This window comes from Homo sapiens, chromosome 18 (genome assembly GCF_000001405.40).
Source record: "Homo sapiens chromosome 18, GRCh38.p14 Primary Assembly".
Classification (NCBI taxonomy): Eukaryota; Metazoa; Chordata; class Mammalia; order Primates; family Hominidae; genus Homo; species Homo sapiens.
In genome coordinates, this window is record NC_000018.10 from 59,457,131 (window position 1) to 59,472,715 (window position 15,585).

Below are 15,585 nucleotides of genomic sequence, written 5' to 3' on the forward strand. Positions count from 1 at the left end.
AAAATCCACTTTATGTGTAACCAACATAACAGGGCCATCTTGTTAATGCCTGCTTTCTAGGCGAATTCCCGTAGCTTCCTCACCTGTACTCCCTTCAATTGGTGCACTGGAGGGATGGTTTTGACTCACTGCAGCTGTGTGATAACGAGCTGAGCAGTAAGGGGGAATAGGGAAGGGCTTGTATCAGAGATGGTAGAGTGAACTGATTACCAGCACAAACTTGAGTCCCACTGTTCTGGGTGCAGGTCCCATCTCTGTCACTGAATAGGCTCAGCGACCTTGGGCAGGTTACTTGGCCTCCACAAACCCCACTTGCCTCGACCACAGCCCTGGAATTACAATTCCCACCACATGTGGCTGCTGTGATGACTGGGCAAGGTAATGCACGGAAAGCTCTCAGCACACAGCTTGGTTGTAGGTAGATGGGAGGCGATGCCCAGCAGTTTTCAGGCCCACCAAACCCCTTAAATTTCCTTTGCCTGATAATCCCAGAACCCTAGAATAACAGGATGAACATGAATAACAAAATGAGGGAACTGAGGTCTGGCGACTTCCTGAAGGTCACCTAGCAAGTATCTGAGGTGGGTTTAGAATGGAGTTGTCCTGAAATTAAGTCCAATACCTTTTCCACAAATCAGATGGTTTCCTTTGGGTTTTTTACCCCTGTTCAATGTACCAATTTATAATCCTATGGAGCTTGAATACTCCTGAGAACCAGAATTATTTAGCTCAATCTCCAACAGACTAAGGCAGGCAAATTTCCATGCAATAATATACTTAGTTGTAAAGGGCTGACGCCTTAACTTTGGTTGTGCTGACTGCAGGAAATGGTGGGCTCCTGCATGAAAAGATGACCCAGGCTCCAGGTTTATTATGTTAATACCTAAGGACAGATGAATGACATCCATCTTTCCCAACTAGTCTTTCATCCACTCCATCTCATCTACTGGTCAATTTACAGAATACCATCATCAATCTAGTCTGTCCATCAATCCATCCATCCATCCATCCATCCATCTATCCATCCATCCAACCATCCATCCATCCTTCCATCCATCTTCCCATCCATTCCATCTTCCTAACCACTTATCAATAAGTCTGTCCATCCATCCAACCTTTCCTTCCTCTTATCCATCTATGGAGCATCTGCTGTTAGCCAGGTCCTGTGTCAGGCACTGAGAATGCAAAGTAAGTGAGGATATCTGTTTAACAATTTTCAATTCACCTTTAAGAATCTAGCCCTGTTGGCAGAGCGGGGCCGCCATGAACAAAAGTTAAAAGCTCATGTTTCTGTCCACTTTTACTTTTACATACTCAGTTAAATTTTCCAAGTGTTAATGTGATTAACCAATTCAACAGCTTCATGATAAGATAAACCTCTTTACCAGATTCTCGACTATTTCATTTAGATCATGGAATGTTAGAACGTATCTTTAGTTCAATCTCTTTTGTAGATGACAGTGAGATCCAGAGAGAGACAGTAACTTGCCTTAGGTCTTTCAGATTGCTGTGCGAAGAGACCACGAACTCAACTGGGTCCCAGCTGGCCGTTTTGGAGGAGTGGGTGCACGCAGTGAGCCTGCTATTGGGAATTCTGTTGAGAACACCTGAGAGCTATCTGTCGGCCAGGCTCCAGGGCAGAAGCTCTGCGGAGTGACCTGTTACATGCAAATTCCTGGGCTGTTTTCTGTTCCTTTGTGGAACTGTCAGAACACAGTGAACCAAGATTAACATTATCCAGAAGACTTGAAGCTCCTCTGACGCAGAAGTACACAGCATGGTAGTAAGGAGAGTAGGCGCTGGTGGAGTTACATGATCAGAACTTGAATACTGATGCTGCTAACTAGTACCTTTTAAATTGGACAAGTCATGGTTTCTGTGAATGCCCATTCTTTGAACGGTAAAAAGGTAACAGCACCTATCACTTGGAGCTGCTACGAGGAGCCAGTGATAAGATATGTAGGTTCCCAGAACAGTGCCCAGCTTATGTTAAGAGCTCTATTCACAGTACTCATTTTTATGTTATTTATTGTCGGTATTACTATGATTCAGTTCTCTACAAAATCAGATATGTGGGGTTGGGACCTTACATCACCTTTTCAATACAGCTCTCAAGGGTTTAAAGATAAACAAGGACTCATACCTTTTGTATATGTAGACCTGGAACATAAAACCTACTCTGATGACGGGTTCACATCCACCTTGTAATTTGTCTACAATAATGTCAACATGGAGCTACAAATAATCTCACATATGCTACATTAACAGTTTACTTAGAAATTGGGGTAGATGTCGCTGCATGTTTTCAATCCTCTCAACTAATGCTGTGGTCACACTTCTGGGAAAAGCCTAGGATGGTATCACTTAACATTTTTTCTTCAACTTGTTCAGATTTTAAAGGTGCAATATTATTGATTAGCCACATGGGGGCATGAAGCTCTAATTTTTCCTGAAGTTGACCAGGACGTCTATCCTAAGCATTAGAAGTTGTAATGCCTTAGATATCTTAGAAAAACCAAACAATGTTCCTGAAATATTTTATATGGGCAGTGTTAGAAATGAACAAAGCATGTTTGTGTTTAAAAGTTGATCGTGCAGATTTGTGTTCTGGCTGTAATATCCAACCCCGGAGGCACATTACAATCACCTGGAGGGCTTTTAAAATATGAATTCTGCTGCACACCACCCGTCTGGGGATGGCAAGGCAACAGTATCAGCATTTTTAAAAAAGCTCCCCAGGTAATTGCAAGGTTGAGAACCGCTGATCTATGGATTAGTGGAGCTTGAAAGTAATATGAAACACCTGGCCATCTGACACTGACCTGTAATAAGTGATGCCAGGGGTCACGGTCACGTTATCAGAAAATAAACAAAAGTTGAAAAATAAAGACTGGCAAGCTAATTACTATTGGAGCCAACATTTCCTTAATTTGTCTCCCTATTGAGGCTACAGACTCCCTGGGGTGACTAAACTGGCTCCGGCTACATATTTTCAAAGAGAAAATCAAAGTGACTGAATGTCCATTAGCCAGACAGCTTGTCTCACTGAGCCTGAAGCCAGTGGATTGCAACCTCTCAAGCCTCAGAGGCAGTCCTGGGGCCACCCTCCCTTCTCTCCTCCTGGATTCCTAACAACCAGCTGAGGTTGTGTTTGATTTCAAATTCCTCTGATTGTAACAATACAGGCATTAGATATGCAAAGTTAAAAAGGAAAACCAAGGAGGAAGAGATGATTTCAGATCACATGTGGTTATACTCAAGAATCACTCTCAATTCATAACAAAATGACCATAACGAAATATTGAGCTTACTAATTAGTCCAAAACAGATGAAAATGCTTATCAGCTTCTGATGTTCCGGAATGTGGGACTCTTTTTGGCCTGTGACATTTCTTATTGCTGAATTGAATGTTTGGATGTGTAATAATTCATCTTTTAGATATTTTGAGGAAAGTCCTCTGCTTAGAAGGTGTGGAGGCTGGGTATATTTCTTAGATGGAGGACTAAGAAATGAGGCGTGGGCCAGGAGCTGTGGCTCACGCCTGTAATCCCAGCACATTGGGAGGTCAAGGCAGGCAGATCGCCTGAGATCGGGAGTTCGAGACCAGCCTGGCCAAGATGGTGAAACCCCATCTCTACCAAAAATACAAAAAGGTTTAGCTGGGCATGGTGGCGCACGTCTGTAATCCCAGCTACTTGGGAGGCTGAGGGATGGGAATCGCTTGAACCTGGGAGGCAGAGGTTGCAGTGAGCGGATATCGCGCCACTGCACTCCAGCCTGGGTGACAGAGGGAGACTCTGTCTCAAAAATAAATAAATAAATAAATAAATAAATAAATAATAAAATAAAAATAAAAAAATGAGGTCTTCACATGGAATCACAGGGCTTGTATCACTTATGCTAAGTCATACCAAATTATGAAAAATGTCTGAAAGGGTGAAAGGGTCTTCAAAGCTCATGTAGTTCAACCTTCTCATTTACAGATAAGGCAACTGAGGCCCAGAGACCCGCTCATTGTTGCTCAGTTAATACTGAACCAACTTTGGTTCCGCATTACTTCAAACTGTCAAGCCTAGGAACTTTCCACTGCATCACAGCTGTTAAAGAAATGATCCCCTTCCCCGCCACCACTGGCCCTTGCTGGGCCACACTGCTGAAGAGTGGAGGCACTTTTTTTTTTTTTTTTTTGCCAGAACCATCAAAGCCAGCCCCCACCTTCCCAGCAGTCCAATCTCTTGAATCATGACTTTAATGTTCAGGGCATGCAACGGCCTGTCCTTTCTCATAATTTTAATTATGTGTATGAATTGCTTCCCTCTACCCTTCTCTCTACCCTTGAGTTTCTACTTTCAAATATTCCTGGTTACTGGTGTTTCAATTTTGTTTTACTGAAATATAAAATCAAATGCTAGTCCTCTGTGCATAGGTGATAAATTCAGTGGAGACAAATTACTGAAAATACTGTAGAAGGGTGCTGCTGGAGAGCACCCTTAGTAGAGTCATATCAGGTTTCCCTTTTAAGACTATTTGCAATTGCTATATTTGGGGAAGGATGTCAATGGAAGAGAAAGAGGAGAGGATTCCCAGCCAGGTGTAATCTTTTTTTTTTTTTTTTTTTTTGAGACAGAGTTTCGCCCTTGTTGCCCAAGCCAAGTGCAATGGTGTGATCTCGGCTCACTGCAACCTCAGCCTCCTGGGTTCAAGCGATTCTCCTGCCTTAGCTTCCCAAGTAGCTGGGATTACAGGCGCCTGCCACCACGCCCAGCTAATGTTTTGTATTTTTAGTAGAGACGGGGTTTCACCATGTTGGCCAGGCTGGTCTTGAACTTCTGACCTCAGGCGTTCCTACCGCCTCAGCCTCCCAAAGTGCTGGGATTATAGGCCTGAGCTACCATCCCCGGCTGCCAAGTGTCATCTTTTGCAATGAGTTTTGAATGACAGTAAAGCTCAATGATATAACCAGCAGAATGCTCTTGATTAAACAGGACATCCCTCATTATAGTCACTTGTAACTGTCTCTCAATATGGCAGAATGGAAGGTAGTATCCTACTTCCATTCATCAGATGCCATGCAGTCTACAGAAAACACTCCTCTCTGGACTCCGGCCGCTTCATCTGCTGATATCAACATCCTTGCCTGAACGTTGACCAGTTGGCTTATCGTTTGGCCCCAGAGCTAAGATCTTTGATGCTAAGTTGATATTTTCTAAACTGTTCTTCAGGATACCATCACTTGTGATATGTCTGTAGGAATAATTTTGGGTTTAATCAAAGTTTCTTTTCTTTTTTTTTTGAGACAGGGTGGAGTGCAGTGGTGCAATTATAACTCACTGCAGCCTCAACCTCCTGAGTTCAAGTGATCCTCCCACCTCAGCCTCCTGAGTAGCTGGGACTACAGGCATGTACCATTATGCTCAGCTAATTTTTAAACAATTTTTAGTAGAGATGGGGTCTCACTATGTTGGCCAGGCTGGTCTCGAACAGCTCAAACGATCCTCCCACCCTGGCCTCCCAAAGTGCCGAGATTACAGGTTTGACCCACCACACCTGACCTAATTTTTTTTTTTTAAATGGCAATCTCTCTGGGCTTTTAGTGCATTCTAATTGTGACCCCTTAGGAAGTGGGTGCAGTGAGGCACACTCCTCCAAACACCTGAACACAGGACCTTAAGAAAGATATGCTTATTGACAGCTCACAGGAACCCACAGGTCTGCAGAACATCATGTGGGGAAATGCTGCAGTAAACGGTGGAGATAAAATATGCCTTTAACGCAAATAATACTAGAGAAGATACCAAAAAACAATGTAAAATAGATCCTCTAATATTACTACTGCTCAGGTATTTTTACTGAATTCTTAGCCACAGAGGTCACACTGGTCATCAACTAAAAATAATTCTTGATTTCTTGTACTTATCTGAAACTTTACTTGAAAAATATTTAAGAAGTACATTTCATTTCTCAGGGAAGGAAAGAGGTGCATGTAGTCCCAGTGCTGACTTAGCAAGAGACTGCTAATTTCTGGGAACTTCCTTTTCCTTCCCCCTTTCCCACCCTAGCCTGCCCCCAGCCCTTTCTGGGCCCACACTGCTGAAGGTTGGAGGCACAGGTGACTGTCTCTCACCAGGGCAGACCTTGTCACTGCACTCTGACCCACAGCAATCGTAGCTCACTGCAGCCTAGACCTCCTGGGTTCAAGTGATCCTCCCATCTCAGCCTCCTGAGTAGCTGGGACTCCAGGCACGTGCCACCACACCCAGCTAACTTTTTTGATTTTCTCTGACTTACAGCCACCGCCAGGGCACCACACAGCAGGGCCATACACAGGGCTTGCTGCCTTGGGGACTGAAGAGGAATGTGGGTGGAGGATCTAGGAATTACTGCAGGAGGTGGAGGCTACCTGAGACCAAAGCACAAATAAACTCAGCATTTAAAATCTGATACCAGTCTCTGGAAATTCCATCCCGCTTCTCTGGTCATTGCTAGTGATGGTTGGTCTCCCCGCAGGCCACTCTCCCTCACAGGCAGGAACTCCTTGTGGGCGGGGCCAGGTCCTATTATTTCTATATCCCAACATCGAATCTCAACCTAACCCCCAGCAGTATTGCGTTTGTTGCTGGGGTTCCCGGTGATTATGCTCAAGCATAAGCCTTGGTTGCTGGAGGCTGCCCTTCATGAGCATATAAGTGGGATTTCACCTGTAGATAAATCTGAGGCAAAGAGACAATGGACTTGCCAGGCTGGGCTGTCCATAACGCATGGGCTACCTGGCTCAGAGCATAGCTGAAAATCCAATTCCCAAAATGAAAAATTAGAAAGCTGCTTTCTTGTGACTGATTCTCAAGCAGGCCCCACACATTCATAGATCAGTGGCTAAATAGCTGCACCCTGTTTTTCAGTGAGATTCCTGTTTTCAGTAAAGGACATCATCTATGAGGTAAGTTACACTTGCCTGCCCCTCCCCCACTGTCTCCACCATGGGACAAAACTCAGTGATTTTAATTTGGAACTTAAAAAGTAGTCAGGGCATGGTGGCTCATGCCTGTAATCCCAGCACTGTGGGAGGCTCAGAGGCCGGCGGATCACCTGAGGTCAAGGAGTTTGAGACCAGCCTGGCCAACATGGTGAAACTACTAAAAATACAAAAATTAGCAGGGAGTGGTAGCAGGCACCTGTAATCCCAGATACTTGGGAGGCTGAGGCAGGAGAGCCCCTTGAACCCGGGAGGCTGAATTTGCAGTGAGCTGAGATTGCACCACTGCACTCCAGCACTCCAGCCTGGGCAACAGAGCAAGACTCTGTCTCAAAAACAAAACAAAACAAAAAAGTGGTCTGTAAATGTTACTTTTCTCCAGTCAACCTGGATGATCGACAAGCCCGTTTCCTCTGCCCTATGAACACCCCTGGGCAGGCACATGCCACATGCTTCAGGCTTTAAGAAGTGTCACCAAGTCCTCAAATTCACTCAAATTATTCAAATCGCCCAATCCTAAACTGGTTCCAAAGACTTATTTTGCATTTACTTCCGACATATGGCAGCTTCCTTGTGACTCAGCCCAGTTGCTTGTCAGAATTTCACTTTGTAGTTCTCCCTTGCCAGGCAGCGGAAGCTGGTCCTCAGCTGTTTGCTGTCCTCAGCTGATGGCTGCTGCCTTCTAGCCCTTTTTGAAGCTTGGGCTACACCCAAGAATCACCACCTCCTGAGTGCCCAAACAGCTCTGGTTTTTTCATCTCTGCATTTCTGGCTATGGGTGATTTGTCCTAGGAACCCCAAAGGAAGGTTCAGGCCCAGCCAACCTCTCCCGACAGAGCTCCAGCCACCTTCCCTTCCCGAGGTAAGTAGAGAAGAGCTAAGCCCTAGGCTTGGGGAAGAGGACAGCAGCTTCCTGGGCTACAAGTAGTGGGTACAGGAGCTGGTGGCTGTGTGGCACCAGCCTCAGGCCCTCTAAGTGGCTGAGGGCTTTCTCCCCAGGGAAGTGGTCCTGCCAGCCATTGTCAATGGAGTCCATTTTGCTTCAAAGTTCACCCTTGCTAGAAAGGCCCTTGACATGTAGGCTAAAATCCTACATTTTCATGGCTAGGCTGGCACTGACAACTTGGCAGGGGGACCAGAGCTGCTTCACACATGCATATGGTGGTATTTTGATGACAAGGCATTGCCTGGAGCATTGATATTAGTTTAGGGGCTCTCTTTCTCCTTTCTCTTTCTTCTTCTCTCTTTCCTCTTCCCCCATCCCTCCCCTTTTCCACTCTGCCTCGTTCTTCTTTTTTCCTCCGAACTCAAATAAGGAAATAACCCGAACTTCAGCTGATCATATGCTTGAGTGACCAGACATCTCAGTTGAATGTCGCCGACATAATGTAAATCAGCTTCTCAGCTCTGTGCTAAAGGCCCAGCTTTTAGAAATTTTCCAACTGCCTGTGGACTGATACTTCTGTGAAACACAAAGATGAACCACTACAAAAATAAGATGTAAAATGCAAGCATAAATTTTTGGATTTAAACAAAATTCCTCTGTCAGATTGATATAAAAATTTTTAAACACTCTCAATTTTTGTTTTTATCCAATTGTGAATCTTGCCTGTCCCTAGACCATATTTTGAGTAGCATGGATACAGATTGTTTACCTTACAAGGAGATGTTTCATATTTATATTTCAGCCCATTTTCTTTGGGAAAACACAGCGTTTCTGACCTCTTCTCTGCTCATCTTAGTTTGTCTAAACACATATCTAAGCTCTACTCATTTCTCTAAGAGCACACCACTTCAGCTTGGTGGAGAGCTTCCTCCAGTACACACTAGCTTACAACCCTTGAGCTAATGGGCATCACTCTTATTCTTTCTCTTTAGAAGGAGTTTGAACTTATATTCTCTTCCCTAGGTCCCATTTACAATTCATATATGTGCCCCTTCCTGCCCACTTGCCTGCTTGTCCTCTGAGGTACCTGATTGTGCTCTTAATATATAAAAATATATGTTATATATATTACATATAACTACATGAATATAAAATACATGATATGGTTTAGCTGTGTCCCCACCCAAATCTCATCTTGAATTATAGCTCCCATAATCCCCATGTGTCATGGGAGGGACCTGGTGGTGGGTAATTGAATCATGGGGGCAGGTCTTTCCCATGCTATTCTCATGACAGTGTATAAGTCTCAGAGATCTGATGGTTTATCAATACAAGGGGCAGTTCTCCGGTACACGTTCTCTTGCCTGCAACCGTGTAAGACGTGCCTTTGCTCCTCCTTTGCCTTCCACCGTGATTGTGAGGCCTCCCCAGCCATATGGAACTGTGAGTTTTTTAAACCTCTTTTTCTTTATAAATTACCCAGTCTTGGGTATGTCTTTATCAGCAGTGTGAGAACGAACTTATACAATAAATAATTATGTATAATTACATATAGGCACTTGGAAACTTTAGACATTAAACATAATGTGGCATACATTGTATATAAAATTACATAGCATAATTACATAAATATATTTATATATACAATTATATAATCATATCTATATAATATATAAACCCCCAAACTGGTTATATATATAATATATAAAAATATGTAATTAGGGAGATATTTAGACTTGCCCTACTTACCAGTGTCATTGGGATATTTGTCTCCCCTGGTACATGTCTTCCCATCATCTTCCCGGATGTAGCCTTCCCGGCACTCGCAGCGGTAGCTGCCCAAGGTATTGATGCAGATGTGGGCACACAGCGTCCCATTGCTGCTGGCACACTCATCAATATCTGGTTTGAACCAAATGTAGAGAATACTAAGTTTCTGAGAATTCACTTCTAATACAACAGATGACATTGGGCTTTGCCTCTCTGTTAATAACAATGAAGGACACTTGGGCCGACCTTGATCAGAGCAGCCTGGAATAAAGTAGGGAGCTAGAAATGTGGGTCATCCATAAAAACAGCACTTTTGGCCAAGTGGCCATTGTTACAGGCTGATCAGTGATGGGGTTCCTGGCTGTGGCTCTGCCACTCGCAAGTCATGTGGCTTAGACTGCTAGCCTTCAGAGATCTCACTTACAGAACAATAACAATGAAGCCTGCCCTAAACACTTCAGAGGGCTGCTTAGAAATGACAATGAGATCACCAGTGACAACACTCAGAGAAGCAAACATTATAGAGATGATTTTTTGTGAGTGCCCTACTGTGCTGGGGATTTTTAAGTTTCCCTTTATGGTATAGGTTCCAAACAGCATGACGATGACCCCACAGGTCACTTAGGAATGGCTCCTTCCCAGTTAAAAGCCATGATGGCACCTGGGAAAAGATACTTCTAATAAAAGAAAATAGTCATAATGGGTCTAATGGAAAGAGTCTTCCCCAGGAAATTTCTGCCTCATCAAGAACCCAGACAGACCCCTCATGAGCTGTGGAAATGAGCCATGGGACCATCAAACAAGTCCCCATGAAGAGCCCATGTTAACTATGCACATCATGGACTTGCTCCCCTGCCGCATGGTGGAAACAAAAACGTTTCCCACCACGAGGACAGTGGGAGGCCCAATTCCATTTCCTGTTCACTGGTTGAAGACAGTGGGTAGCAGTGGGTGGGAGCCGTGGCATGCAGCCCCAGACTGTGCACATGTGCTGCGTAGACACAGGCCAGCCCTGAACTTGAGGATGGCAACAACTTCCCAGCCACTCCCTGCACAAGCTGCCAGTGACTCAGTCCCTGTGTACGCTGAGGGGAGGGTGGTCATCTGGACGCTCCCCGGCAGTACCAACTATGTCACCTGTAGACCGGATGTTGCAGCTGCATCCTCCTCTGCAATTCCTCAGGCTCACTGCCTTTCCCCAGGTGTCCCTGCCCTAAACCTACATGTGATGCTGCCTGTACTGCCCAGAGAGAGAGGAGATGAAGTTGAAATCAGAGATAGAAATAGAACTCTTAGTAGAAGCCAAGTTCTGCTGGTCCCCAAACCCCCAAACAAAAAGAACAGGGGGCTGGGTGCGGTGGCTCATGCCTGTAATCCCAGCGCTTTGGGGGGGCCAAGACAGGAAGCTGAGCCCAGGAGTTCCAGGCCAGACTGAGCAACATAGTAAAATCCCATCTCTATAAAATACGAACAAAATTAGCTGGGTGTAGTGGCGCATGCCTGTAGCTCCAGCTACTCAGGAGGCTCAGGTGGGAGGATCACAGGAGCACGGGAGGTTGAGGCTGCAGTGAGCCATGATCACGCCACTGCACTCCAGCCTGGGCAACAGAGTGTGACCCTGTCTCAAAAATAAATGCATAAAGAATAGGGTACAGTAGCTGCTATAAAGTGAAGTAAGAGCCTTGTGCCTGGGACCTGAGCCTCATGGAATGGCCTGTACCTTTCTCTGCAGGAGAGGCCAGAGATCCCTGCCCCATTCACTTGGGAGTCACAATCCCATTGTCTGGCATTGTGGGGCACCATTCCCAAATGCCGACAGGGAGCAACCAGAGGACCTACGGTTAGAACTTCTCAGAAATGGTGCTCCCTAGAGCCCCTGCTAGGATAGAGAAAGAGGGATGCTCATGACAGCTGGTTTATCTTCCATGTAGGTCTACCTGCTAGTCTCTGGCAGTTCATCCTCCAGTTGATTCTTAAATCTCACCATGCCTAGGAATCATTAGAGGCATTGGTGTAAATATGCACGTCTGGACCCACTCTCAGAGTTGTGATTCATTAGGTGTGGAGAAAAGGCCAGGTTTTTTTTTTTTTTCCCCAAACGAGGACCCCAGATGTTTCTTGGGTTAGTTATGAACTGACCACACTTTCAGACACATGGTTCCAATGGAAAATGAGCCATAAAGCTGCCTTAGAACCTCAAGGAGTGCACGGCTGGGATAGCCAGTTCATGAGGGTGGCAGTAAACAGGCTGGTGCCGTGGATGGTGCAGGCTCTGCTCAGCTGCAGCCCAGGTGGCTGGCTTCAGCTCCCTCTGACTTCCTCCCAACCTGTCTGCCATATGGCTACTTCCTTTTTTCCCCAACCATCTTCTAAGAGAATGTTTATTCTTGTTTTGTTCTGTCTGCGTTTTTACTTTTCTGACCACTTATACTCTGTTTTACATTATTCTAGTTTATATTTGGGCATGTTCCCCTTCTCCTGCTCTTATGTCTCATTGCCAATTAGGACCTTGCTGGTACCAAATCCCGGAAGAATTCCTTGGGCCTAATTGGTTTTAGTAATTGTGATGAAGGGCAGTGATAAGCTATCCCTAGGATAATATCAAACACAACTCCATCCAACAAGTATGAGAACTGAAGGGTCCAACCAAGGACAGAACCATCTGAACAAGGCACATGTTCAGAAGCTGGAAACAAGCACATTCCCAACACACCCAGACAGTATGGCTTCTCCCGCTTCCGGTGTCTCTCCCGGTCATATCGGTATCCCGGATAACAAGTACACAGCACTCGGCCAAAGTTGTCCGTGCACTGCTGTTCACAGGGAGCCTCGGCACAAACGTCGTAATCTGAAAAAGCAAAGTGAGAGCTCACATCAACTACAGGAGGAGGCGGAGTAACCTGGCCCTGGCCTGGAAAGGACTTTCTGGGCTGGGCTCTGCTCAAGGGCACGTGTGAAGTGTGGACAGATATACTTGGAGGGACAGGAACTCTTTAGGGCTGTGGGTCACCTTCTAAGAGTACTGCAATGGGTAACTTACATGGCATCACATCACTCGTGATTTTTCCCCTAGGTCACCTTGTCATCCTTTGGTCTTTGTCACTATCCAGAGAGAAAAGACTCTTAAGAGGGCCAGCCTCTGCGGATTCCCTCGGGGTTGGGGGTGCTGTTTTGTCTTGTTCATCAACTGCTGTAGAGGCAGGTGACTCCACCCAGCAGAATACTAAACAAAGGCCAGCTGGGGTGACAGGCACTGGTGTCATCATGTGGGAGGAAGGGCTGGAAGTCAGGCAGGCTCAGAGAGGTAGGAAGGGGGCTTTGTGTATACATGTCTAGTCTTATGCTGCTGATACAGACATACCTGAGACTGGGTAATTTATAAAGGAAAGAGGTTTAACTGGCTCACAGTTCCACATAGCTGGGGAGGCATCACAATCATGGCTGAAGGTGAATGAGGAGCAAAGCTGCTTCTTACATGGTATCAGGCAAGAGTGTGTGTGCAAGGGAACTCCCCATCAGATCTCGTGAGACTTATTCACTGTCATGAGAACACCATGGGAAAGACCCACCCCATGATTCAATTACATCCCACCAGGTCCCTCCCATGACACGAGGGAATTAAGGGAGCTACAATTCAAGATGAGATTTGGGTGGGGACACAGCCAAACCATATCACTTTGTAATAGAAATGTGCATGACTTATAAGAGGGCCGATGCTTATGTGTGTATACTGTATAAGTGTGCATCCTGGGGGGTTGATCTCTCATGCTGAGAAGGGGTTGGGTGAGTTTGAATGGCTAGAGGTCTCTTTCCAGCTCTCAGCCTGTACAAACTGAGGTGGATACACTGCTACTCATAAAGAATTAGGGCATCTGCTCCTCTCAGTTCCTATGAACTGATATGTAATGAGCCTCTGAAGGGACTTTGGCTCTAATTCAGTAGCTCAGGCACAACACTGACTCCCGGACCGGAGCCAGCACCTCATTAATCCTTGCACTATCTCTTCCAGGTGCTGACAGATAAACTATACTTGGACACAGAGCGAGTCTGGCTTTGCTCCACCACATATGAAGGTGAACGGGTGGGCTGTCAGCTCCTGATGCAGGGAGGGTTTGTGTGACAAGTATTGTGCCACTCTCACGATGACCTGGAAAGCTGCCCTTGTAAAATACTCCTTCCCATGATTGTGATTTCAGGCCTGCTTTGCCTGCATGGTGTTCTGACCAACCCTGCAAACTGTCTCTGGCTACACGTTTCCCCCACTTGGCATCGCCTCTAGGCAGCCAAGGTTCTGTGCTCTTTTTGTTGGAGAGCGTGATCCTGGCATGACTGGCTCTGAGCTTCCCTGTTGGCTGTTGCCACCATTCCGCAGCAGCTGGGAAGGGGAAGAAGGAGGCAGAGAGGCTGTCGAAGTGTTTGAGTTGATCATGGTGCCTAACAAGGCAGTTCCCTGTCTCTCCTACCATTTCTGCTTCCCTGAGGAACCGCTCTCAACTCTTCTGATTCTTTCTATACTCACTTCTGCATCTCTAAATAGCTGACTTGCATTGCTTTATTTTTATTTTAAATCCTCTCTATTGACTTCCAGTAACAGAAGAGATGCATTTAACTTTTTCACGGCCTCCTGTGCCCTGCAGTCACACCCATAACTTCATATTCCCTCCATCTGGCCAATACAGTTATGATGATATTTTGGTGCGGTAATTGTTAGTATTTGCACCATAATGACAACATAAAAGCTATTCTTTGCTGAGCCTGGAAGTATGCTTGAATTACTTGTACCTTCTTGAAGACCTTTTTGTCTTCTTTGGAATTAAAAGAATTACCTTGTATATTTTTGGGGTGCCAGTTACTGAGCTTTCCCTCTTAGCTTCAAACACCCACCTTCTTCTTCCATGGGCTACTTTGTGACTTGGGCTCTGGAGACCACATTATTCCTGTGTCAGTTGCCAGCCTCTTCATTTCTGACAGTGACACACATAGAGACACAGACAGATACAGACAGGGAGGCTGGAAGAGGAAGAAAGGATATCTGCCTTTTTCTGGTTTGCTTCCTGGGCTTCCTATTCATGAAAGCCTAATATCAGCCTTTCTCTTCCATCCCACTAGCAGACTGTTTCAATAGCAGCTGCAAGCCGGGCATGGTGGCATGTGCCACCTCCGGAGGTTGAGGTAGGAGGCTGGCTTGAGGCCAGGAGTTCAAGACCAGCCTGGGCAACATAGTGAGCTCCTGTGTCTACCAAAAAGAAAACAGTAGCAGCAAAATCCAGCTTGTATTTTTTCCAACACTTGCAAAATCAGCCTCACTATATCCCATTTCAGAGACATCAGCACCAGCCAGCCATCTGGTAGCCCCTCCTCAAAGGTCTGGGTCCCTGATCCACTAGTAACTTCCTCTGAGTTCTGAGAAATAGGGCTTGCTAGCCAGTACCTCTTCCTCAGAGTGCTGGGTCCTCCAAACTTCTAAGTTTTCACTGGCCCAGTATCTTCTCTTTGTTTCCCTAGCCTAGAGGCGGTAGCTGCTTCCTGCAGTTGTTACCTCAATGATACTTAGTTTTCCTTTGCATTTTTGGTTCTCAATTACTAGTTAGCAATTCTTCATATTAATTGCTTTCTGTTAAATAAGTGGTGAAGGCTCTGTTTCTGGACAATTCAATCTACATATTCAGTTTTCTACAAATTGATCACTGATTCATCACCAGAGATCCCCTCAATTTTGCGAATCTCTTCTTATAGACATTTTTTCAAATTAATCTCAACTTGCTCTAATTAGGACTCTGTAGGTCTGCTGCACAGCAGCTACTACTCTTGGTCTTGAACTCCTCAAATAATCCTCGTCTCAGCCTCCCAAAGCGCTGGGATTACCAGCACCGCGCCCAGCCTACAGCTGCCTCCATGAATGTGCATTCACCATGAACCTAGGGATGCCCATCACCTCCCTCTCTCTTTTGTTGGA

At 45.5% G+C, this 15,585-nt stretch overlaps 1 protein-coding gene across 6 annotated transcripts in view, besides 9 other annotated features; it reads right to left on the bottom strand.

Moving 5' to 3' along the window:
- Positions 1–15,585, bottom strand: part of CCBE1 (collagen and calcium binding EGF domains 1) — a 266,783-nt gene that overhangs the window by 26,192 nt on the left and 225,006 nt on the right. For all 6 annotated transcript variants that reach the window (XM_024451091.2, XM_017025557.2, XM_047437302.1 and 3 more), the window contains 2 exons: positions 12,343–12,477; positions 9,609–9,761 (listed from right to left, as the gene is read on the bottom strand). In XM_024451091.2, coding sequence (XP_024306859.1) covers positions 9,609–9,761; positions 12,343–12,477 — 288 coding nt within the window. The remainder of the gene's footprint in view (positions 1–9,608; positions 9,762–12,342; positions 12,478–15,585) is intronic.
- Positions 2,689–6,746: a meiotic recombination region, noted in NCBI's record as "this region was identified as a recombination hotspot within the HapMap CEU population". NCBI's record gives the evidence for it as "EXISTENCE:nucleotide sequencing assay evidence [ECO:0000219][PMID:20981099]".
- Positions 2,689–6,934: a biological region, named in NCBI's record as "meiotic recombination hotspot N".
- Positions 3,983–3,998: a nucleotide motif, noted in NCBI's record as "nucleotide motif; similarity to the predicted 16-mer PRDM9 C-type binding motif, CCNCNNTNNNCNTNNC".
- Positions 4,067–6,934: a meiotic recombination region, noted in NCBI's record as "this region was identified as a recombination hotspot within the HapMap YRI population". NCBI's record gives the evidence for it as "EXISTENCE:nucleotide sequencing assay evidence [ECO:0000219][PMID:20981099]".
- Positions 5,109–6,927: a meiotic recombination region, noted in NCBI's record as "meiotic double-strand break mapped by DNA meiotic recombinase 1 chromatin immunoprecipitation followed by single-stranded DNA enrichment and sequencing in the germ cells of some male individuals with the PRDM9 A/A, PRDM9 A/B and PRDM9 A/C genotypes". NCBI's record gives the evidence for it as "EXISTENCE:chromatin immunoprecipitation-seq evidence [ECO:0000229][PMID:25395542]".
- Positions 5,164–6,763: a meiotic recombination region, noted in NCBI's record as "crossovers mapped in sperm cells of males of European ancestry". NCBI's record gives the evidence for it as "EXISTENCE:DNA detection assay evidence [ECO:0005519][PMID:18650392]".
- Positions 5,499–5,511: a nucleotide motif, noted in NCBI's record as "nucleotide motif; similarity to the predicted 13-mer PRDM9 A binding motif (LD hotspot motif), CCNCCNTNNCCNC".
- Positions 6,042–6,054: a nucleotide motif, noted in NCBI's record as "nucleotide motif; similarity to the predicted 13-mer PRDM9 A binding motif (LD hotspot motif), CCNCCNTNNCCNC".
- Positions 15,409–15,568: a silencer, noted in NCBI's record as "fragment chr18:57139771-57139930 (GRCh37/hg19 assembly coordinates)". NCBI's record gives its function as "represses an EF-1alpha promoter that drives an FKBP-Casp9 reporter gene in an ReSE screen in HepG2 liver carcinoma cells {active_cell/tissue: HepG2}" and the evidence as "EXISTENCE:reporter gene assay evidence [ECO:0000049][PMID:32094911]".